The sequence below is a fragment of the Homo sapiens genome, chromosome 21 (genome assembly GCF_000001405.40).
Source record: "Homo sapiens chromosome 21, GRCh38.p14 Primary Assembly".
Lineage (NCBI taxonomy): Eukaryota > Metazoa > Chordata > Mammalia > Primates > Hominidae > Homo > Homo sapiens.
The window spans coordinates 14,451,242-14,460,477 of record NC_000021.9 but is presented as its reverse complement, the minus strand read 5'-3'; the positions used below and the strand labels follow the sequence as shown (position 1 = coordinate 14,460,477).

At 35.7% G+C, this 9,236-nt stretch overlaps 2 annotated features.

Annotated features, from left to right (window-relative positions):
• Window positions 5,585-6,241: a transcriptional cis regulatory region, noted in NCBI's record as "candidate enhancer chr21.64 targeted for multiplex CRISPR interference". NCBI's record gives its function as "positively regulates SAMSN1 gene expression in K562 cells {active_cell/tissue: K562}" and the evidence as "EXISTENCE:mutant phenotype evidence [ECO:0000015][PMID:30612741]".
• Window positions 8,197-8,358: a transcriptional cis regulatory region, noted in NCBI's record as "candidate enhancer chr21.63 targeted for multiplex CRISPR interference". NCBI's record gives its function as "positively regulates SAMSN1 gene expression with high confidence in K562 cells {active_cell/tissue: K562}" and the evidence as "EXISTENCE:mutant phenotype evidence [ECO:0000015][PMID:30612741]".

The window sequence follows — 9,236 nt, the reverse complement described above, 5'->3', positions numbered from 1 at the left end:
CCTGAACACTCCAGAAGGGACAGGGTATAATGAAGCACGTCTGACCCTCACTTCCTATCACGGCCTGAACTAGTTTCTCAGGTTTCTTTGGAATCTCCTTGGTTGAGAGGGGGTTCCAGTCAGTTGGCTGGGGAGCTTGGAATTTTATTTTTGGTTTGCACCTATTTTACAATGTGATTTACTCATACATTCACTAATAAATTGCCTAGTTTGGTTTTTTAGGATACGCTGTCTAACAGAAAGATTCTGAGGGAATAAAACATAAGAAAAAAAAAATCTATTCAAGATCCTGAGATTACAGGATCAGTAAGTACGGTGAAAGGTATGTGAAGACTCAATAGCCTTGGGTTCTAGTCTCAACTCTATTATTTGCCACAAATGTCACAGGGCAACTCTCTGAAAGAATTATTCCAGTTTTTTAAACAAATCTAAAATTAAATGTATAATAATTCATTATGATGGCATGAAGCTAAATGACATAGTTTACTTAAGAATGCTCTGAAAATTGTTGACTACCATGCAAATAAAGAGTATTAATAAGCTTAATACAGAAATGTAATAATTTTGGAATTGGATCGGTTCATTTATATTAGATATAATGACATTTATTTATTTTAAGCAGGTTGGTTTCTTTTGGAGCTTTTTAATTGAAGAATTGTATACATGCACAAAATTGGTATATCATTTGATGAATTATCAAAAGTTAAACACACTCATAAAATTTCCATGATAACACAACAAAGAACATTACCAACACCCGAAGTCTCACTTTGTACCCATTTCCATCACCCAATATCCTTCCTTCTCCCCAAAGGTAATTACTGTCCTGATATCTAATGCCATAGATTACTTTTTATTCCTCTCAGACTCTCTAAATGGTATCATACAATATATACAATTTTGTACACTTTTGTGTCTGTTATTTTGTTCAACATAACTTTTGTGAGATTGAGCTCTGTTGTATGTAGCAGCAGTTTGTCATTTTTATTGCTATATAGTATTAATATGCTGTGTATGCTAATGTATGGGTATTTATAATTTGCTTATTCATTTTTCTGTTGATGGACATTTGGTTCTTTCCAGTTTCAGGCTTCTGAAAAACAATACTGCTATGAACATTCTCTTAAGTGTTTTTTGGTGCACTTATATATGCATTTCTATAGGATATAAACTCAGAAGTTAAATTTCTGGATTTGTGTGTGCTCAGATTTAGTAGACAATGCCAGTTTTCCTAATGGTTTTTACCAGCTTTTACTCCTACCATCTGGTAAAGAAATTCTGGTTACTCTTCATCCTTGCCAACACTTGGTGATATCAGTCTCTCTCATTTACCCATTCTGGTGAGAGTGTAGTGGCAATTAATTACCATTTTTATTTGCATTTTTCTGAATCACATCAGTTTTATCTATCTTTCTTGAATAGAATTCTAATTTTCTAGTAGAACTTCTCCTTATAATCGTGGAGAATAAGCCCATCTCTTTTTTCTTGGGTGAGAGATTTTAGCAGTTATAGATCGCATATGACTATGCACATCTGTTGTCATATTCAGTAGATTTTCTATTGGAAGATTGTCTCTGCAAGTTTATATATATAATATAAAATAAATAATATATATAAAACTGGAGAAAAATTGAAATAAAATTTCAAGAAGTCTGTAATAATAAGAAAAAACACATAGAGGTTCTCATTCATGATGGCTTACCGAACACTCTTGAGTTAAGCTTCCTTCCCTGCTTCCTCAAATCCCTTTTCTAATGACACAGTAAGTAAAATGATAAAAAGTAAACTCATAAAAGCACTTGAAAGTCAGGTGTTACACCACCACAAACCAGAAAAGCAAAGAATTCCTGGAAGATAATATGAAGCAAGTGGGAACAGACTGACAATGAAATCTAACATAGCTGCAGAACTATAAGTCCTTTACAAACAAAGAAGAGCTCAAAATAAATGATTTTTTTTTAAGCACCAAATCACACAAAGAACAAAAGGCACAGGGTCTGGGAGATGGAACAGGCCACAAGGAGCTGTTCAGGTAATTAATTAAAGAATGATAATAACTGTACTATGAATCATCTCCACCCTCAAATTAGTGAATCTCACATTTGTACCCAAGGTCAATGTTTCAAGTTTAGGGTTGTAGAATGAGAATTCCATGCCCAGACTGAAGTTCTGGACTGAAGACATTGAGCAATACCTCAAGAGCATGCTACACACTATAAAGGAAAGTAACCTGACTATTCAATCCCCTCTTCAAATGGGAAGTGGGTAAAAGAAGAGGAATGGATATTGTGAGCCCATTTTAAAAAGTAGGGCCTTTGCAAGACCTAAGACTTGTAGAGAAAATAAAGTATTAAAATTCCTTATGGGCTTTCTCCATTGGTGATAGGACCTGTCCATATGCGTAGAGTGACTACATAATTTCTTGTCCAAATCATAACACTTCTGAGCATGACTAAAGACACTGTCAACAAATGTGCTTGGGTAAAAGACTTAAACGAAGACTCCTGAAGTGGTCGTGGGCATGTGGTCATGTCTACCTATGCCACCAACCTTCCACAGAAATGGGTGGAGATACAGCAGTCATATTTCTCATGTTTGATGACTGGGTCAACTATGCTTGCTTGCTGATCAGCCAGACAGTATGAAGATTCTAATTTTTTTAAAAAAGAAAGAAAAGTAAGAAGACAACTTTTTCTGATTATCAGAGAGAATTGAAATGGATTTTGGTACTAGGTTATCTTAAATAATTACTGATGTTGTTTTACAATTAGGTTTTTTAAGTCTTTACCTGTTACATTAATGTGAGCATTACCTATAAATTAAATTATGTGTGTCTAGGATTTGTTTTAAAACATTCTAGTGGGAAGTTGGAATAGGAGGAGAAGAGGGGTTGATTAATACATTGACAATATATTGGTGCTTGTTGAAGCTAAGTGAGTACATAGAAGCTTATTATTATTATTATCTCTGTACTTTTTACATGCTTAAAAATTTTGTACATGCTTGAAAATTTTCATAATACAATTTTAAGTGTCAATATAAGGGGTTTTCCAACTTAGAAAAACAGCATAGGGAAAAAAACAATAATCACAACATTTGGGAAGGCAGAATAAGTAAGAAATAATTTGGAGACCCCAGGAAGCTAAATCCTAAGCTAGCAGTAAGTAGATTTGAAAAAAAAATTATTCAATTTGCTTCATACACTCTCAAAAATCTCATGAATCTAGGGGAGACCATTAACATGTAGAAGTACAAGGGAATGTGAACTAGGAATAAGAGGACTTATTGAAAGCCTGTATGAGAGGCAATAAGACTTCAAGATTTCCCCTTCTATGCTGCTCAGCCAAAGATCTGTGCCACTTTCACACTGGCAGAATACCAGAGATTTAGAATGTGGAATGTAGTGCAGAGCGATTCAGAATTAAGAGATACCAATACCAGAACTTTGAACCAAGTATTCTGTACTGAAAACATGGGAACTAAGTAAAAGTCTATACATTTATATTGAAATCCCCAGTCCTATTTTTTCCTCCTAGCTCTAGGGATGCTGGTAGACAGATTTATACCATCCATGCATGAGAGAATTTTTATCGAAGAATCTGAGCTATTTACAAGAAAAAGATCTAAACCTATTGATTTAGGATCCCCTATGAGATCACCTAATAAGAACAGTTTACAGTTAAACCTATAATCAATAAGTCACACATACACACATACATACAAACATTCCAGTCAGCTTTATAGTGAGCAATCCTCATACATAAGCATACATCCAAAAATCACAAGATATCTGAGGAAAGTTTCTAACATGAAAAACGAACCAAAATAAGCCAACAGCAATATGAAACTTGAAGAAAAGGGAATCTATTCAAGGAGATGGGGGAAAAGCATTATTAATATTCTCAGAGAAAAAAAGATAAGTTATTTCATCCATGGAACAAGAACTGCCACTTCTACCAAAAAAAAAAAAAAGACAAAAAAAAAAAAACCATAAGAAAGAGACTTTTGAAATCTAAAATATTAAAGTAGAAATTAAAAATTAAGTAAAAACATTAAAAGAAGATATTTTAAAACTAAATATAAAATAGAAAAGATAGGAAAATTATAGGACCAGTATAGGAGGTACAATATTCACAAAATAGGAGATACCAAAAGGTTAACAGGAGAAAAAAAATAAGTTAAATTTGTTTTCTATAAATTTCTCTGAATTGAAGAGTCATTCAATTTGAAAGACCCATTGAGTGGCCAATGCAATGGATACACATTAAGCGTCATTGCAAACTTTCAAAATGCTAGAAACAAAGATTCTACAAGAGTTTCAAAAGGAAAAAGAAAAAGACATAAAATACCAGAATAAAAATGCTCTTTCTCCACAGAAGCACTATTTACAAGAGATAAAACAAAAAAATGCCTTTAAAATCCTGTGAAAAAGTTATTTTCAAACTAGATTTTTATATCCAGCCACAATCTCAAAGTAAAAATAAAATGATGTAAAATAAAGAAATTTTTAGATATAAAAATGAAATTTAGAAATGCATTTTTAGATATATGAGTTATTGAAAAATTTACCTCCAATGTACCCATCTCAAGAAATCATGTACGACATGCTCCATCAAAGTGAAGATGTAAAACCAAAAGAGGAATATTTGGGATCAACTCAAAGTGAGAGGCAGAAAGAGTCCCAGGAAAACAACTCCAAAACTGTTATGGAGAAAACCCAGTCGAGATTGAAACTGGTCAAAATGCTAAAGGGGAGATATGGTCAAGTAGATGAAACTCATATTTTATATGAGTAAACAAAATAACAAAATAAGTATAACCTTCAGGAATTTTTAAACTCAACAAAAAGTGGAAAAAAGAGAAAAAGTAATCTGACATGTAATAGACATCACCAATATCCCATTCAGTTTTCCCTCCTGAAAATTTCATATCCCAATATCCATGCAATTAGACAAAGCCATGTGACTAGTTTGAGTCAATTAAGTGTGAGCAAAAATAACAAATGATCACTTCTGGTCTGAAGCAATGAAAAGCCCCTGGATTTTCCACTCCCTTCTCTCTCTCCTTTCCCTTTGAAATTATTATTGAGTGGGTGCAGCCACAAGATCAGAACATTCTGGATAGCTGTGTCAAGCATGAAGGACAAATGCCCTGGAGAGTCACTTGAACCTGGAGCTGATTTTGCACGACGGAAAGCCACTGAAATTCTGGTGTTGATTGTTACTACAGTATGGATTAACCAATTCTGGCTTATGCTATATTTTACATAGTTCTATGTAAATAACATTTACATATTAATAATAATATAAACACGAATTATTGTTCTATCCAAAATTGATATTGTGGAAACAGGAAATGTGCTGTGTGACAGTGGTGCATATAAATGTGGGAATAGGAGAGAGGAACAGGCATGAGTGTTGGTGTGGTAAGGATGTCGGCTGTGAAGGGGAGTAAAATCCCTCTCTTCTGCAGTAAAAAGTCAGTAACAGTGTCTAAATTTCAAAGAAATGGTAATAAGAGTATGTCTTGTCCACAGCTTTGGGTCCTACTTTCTATATTGGCACAAAGGTAAAACCCCTCTTGACAAGCATCTACAAGGCAGATCAATTGAGAACATACGTTGTGTTTTACTTTCGGGTGTGGCTATGAAAGTTCAGGTCTTTGACAGTGGTCAAAGGTCCTTTAGGTAATCATTCTTGACTGGCTTCTTTCATTCATAGTGGTAGAGAAGATGAAGAGGCAGTGAGAGGATCTTCCTGGCAGCCACATATATGTTTCTTTACCAAACCCCCTTCCCCTAATTAATTCAAGGAAAAGTACTTGTTTGACATGAGCTGAGACAATAAAATCCTCTCCTGCTGAATTTAGAACTGAGAGGGAAACGCCCTTGGTTTAGTATGCTCCGTTTTCCTAAAATAAGATAGAGATCTCAAGGCCTGTGAAGTGGCTATCTTCCCCATGGTGTTGACTGAGTGATAAAAACCAGCTTGAGAAGAAAACAGATGTACAGGGAGATAATGTCCGGGGTCCTTATAACTTCCCATTTCCTTGTCCTGTGTGTGAAGCACCCCTTTTATGTGTAAACTAAAAGTTTCTTTTCATGCTTAGAGCCAGAGAGTTCTGACTGTTAAGACTATGCTTATCAACTGGGACACAAAAGGCAGCTTAATTCTTTCCTTTGTACCTAAAAATATACAGTCCTTAGGTAGTTAAGAGGGAAAGGCCTCAACCAGAATCTCTCTTTTGCCGGCACAGTGATATTTATTTGACAGCCATACAGGTTTTAGAATAGGCCTCTGGCCCTTCTTTAAAAGGCACAGAAAACTGTGTCCAGGAAGCACTGTGGAATTAATAGAAGAATGAGCCTCCTGAACTGAATGATTTCACCATAGTGTCTTCTGCCTCACTACTGTCGCATACTCATAGCACAAGGTTTTAAAGGACGTAAGAAAAAACACACCCTCTCTCTCTAACGTTTATTTTTTATTAGAGGAGACTGACATTAATCATCTGTTTCCCCATCTCTAGAAACCTCTGGAACCCTTTTGCTGAAGTGTCAGCTCAGGTTTATAATATCCCACTCTCCTGGAAGACAGAAGGAAAGTCAAATGCATTATACCACCAAGAGGGCATAAGCTAATAAAGAAAAATGATTAATCAATATTTGCGAGCAATACATTGAAACAAAGAGAGTTTGCATTAGCTCCAGAGTGTAAACCACTTTGTTGAGAGAGCACTTCTGAATCCACTCCGTCATTCTGGATTTAGCAAATGTGAGCTTTTCTTCTTTCCTAGTTAATAGCCAAAATAATTAACACAGAGTTTACATGCACTGGGAAATTGCTGTGTTGAGAAAAAAAGAGAAATTGTACAAACCCTGTGGCCAAGCAGGTTGCTGCCAGAAATAGAAGTGTGAACATCAGTCTGATGGGAAACGCTGCTGTGTAAAGGTGACTGAAACTCTGACATCAGCTCAACATGTTCCACATCCACACCCTATGCAAGGTTCTCAGATTGTCTCATCAGAAGTGAGGACAACAGGGCCAGCTTTTGGTTAAAAATCTCAGATGAAAGAAATGAGTTTCTCACACTAGCATTAAGGAATACATTAAAACAAAAATGATTTAAAGTTTTTTTTTTGACACTGTCCATTTTCAACTCATACCAAAGCTATTAATATTTTAAGCTTGTTATACCTTGGTTTGTCTTTTAGAATGGAAAGGAGCCCGTAAGATCACATAGCAACTTATGCTTGTTTTAAAATGGCAGAGGAAGAGGACCGTCAGAAAGGTTAAGTGCCTAGTCCAGCATCAGCAGCTGATGAAGAGCAGAAGAGTATGAAAGCCAGGCCTCCTGGCTCCTCATTAGTGTTCCTTCCACCACACTGTGCTTCACATAAAGTCTGTAAGAGTCTCAGTATGAGAATGGGAATAATGTCACACATGAGAAGACCGGTGGTCTCCAAGGAATATCAACTTCCCACTTGTGAGAGGGCAATTTTTCTCTCCCCGAGAGAGAATCACAGCCTTCTTTTTGAAAGCTATTTAAAAGGTGCAAATGTGTGAACTTCTAACAAACTGCTAAGGCAAGTGTATTGCCTAAGCAGTAAAACGTAATGTCACGAGGAAAATCAGGTGATTTCATGTGCAAATTTTACCCTCTGGAATCTAAATATCTTGATCATCCTTAAAGGAAAAAAAAAAAAAAAAAAATCGGGCTTCTTGTCACCGCAATTGAACTGCAACTCCATTACTGGATCAATACTCCTGCTAGCAAATATCCCTCTGGAGTAGCCTTGTTACACAAATTAAAACAGTTTTGAGAGGGGGGAGTAGTAATTCTGGGAAACTTAGGGAAAATGATCTCAAAACAGAATTTGTTTAATAGACAAAACCGGGGCTGCGTGGGCGGGGGTGTGGTTGAAGAGGGTGGAATGGGTTACATTCTAACGAACTTTTTAATAAAAGAAAGATGTAGACATTGTAGCTTCCCAGAGGATAAAATGATCAAATGGATCTTTTTCCAAATAAATACTATTATGCTACACTTTCATGGTCAATAGTGCTACATTTGTAGGTGCCCCTCGTCTCAAAAACCAATTTGGCTTATCTGCTTTCTCCTTCTTACATACGTCTCAAAAGCTGTAACAGATTCAGGGAAATAGATGACCTAGTCACAAATGCTCACTTCTCTAGGGACTTGCCTTTAAATTGACCTTGAGCTTCACAAACCAAAAAGAGCATTTGTGTACCTCAGGACAGTATTAAATCTGAAAAAAAATTAAATAAAAAATGAGGGATAGGAGCAGATGGTCAAAGCAAATACATACTCATTCAGACAGCCAAGCCAATAGATAAGAATGCAGAGGCCCTATTAGCTGCAGATTCCTTATGGGGCATAAGCGGTTACAGGAAATGTCTGTTTAGATTAAGGTCACACAATCATCAGTCTTTTACAAGAAATTTTAAAATGTGAACTCGTTCAACTTTTTATGTGGCTTTGTGTTTCTGCTGTTTTAATTTGGAAGATTTTGTTGATATTGGGGAGAAAAAAGTAACAAACTGGGGTTCAGTCAAGTCGTATATGGGTCAAGAAACATTTTATTGTTCACTATGAATTTTAATGTACTCAGATATCACCTTGCTGCTAAGTCTTGTTCCCTTGTTCTCTGAAGAAGAAACACACACAGCTGTGTGGTAATATTAGTGGGATTATGGGCTACCAATGAATATACTGAAACCAAGATATGTGTGACTTATGACATAAATAAAAACTGTTGCTACCATGAGAGGGAAACACTCACAATTAATACTCACTGGCTTGTATAGGGCATGCCTGTTTTTAAATCTCCAACTGGCACCTACTGATGAGGGCTATTTTAAAAATTAGGGACGGAAAAGGTAAAGAGAAATCAAGGCTAAAGGTTGATTTTGCTACTCAATCTGAAATAAACATAACCAGAGTTTTTGAAAGGTAAAAACAAGATAAAATAATTATAGCTTAGAGTCTTAACTAGTACTTTCTAAGTGCTGTAGATAGTGTGGCAGGTTAAAGATGGCTATACATTTTTTGATATTTTTCCCATAGAGAGATGGAATCTAGAATTCCTCCCTCAATCTGGGTTGTATCTCTAATGGCTTTGATGAGTTGAACAGGACAAAACTGTCTCTGTGTTAGTTTCTGGACCTGGCCCCTAAAAATCTGGCAGCACCTATTTCTCTTTTCTTAAAACACTC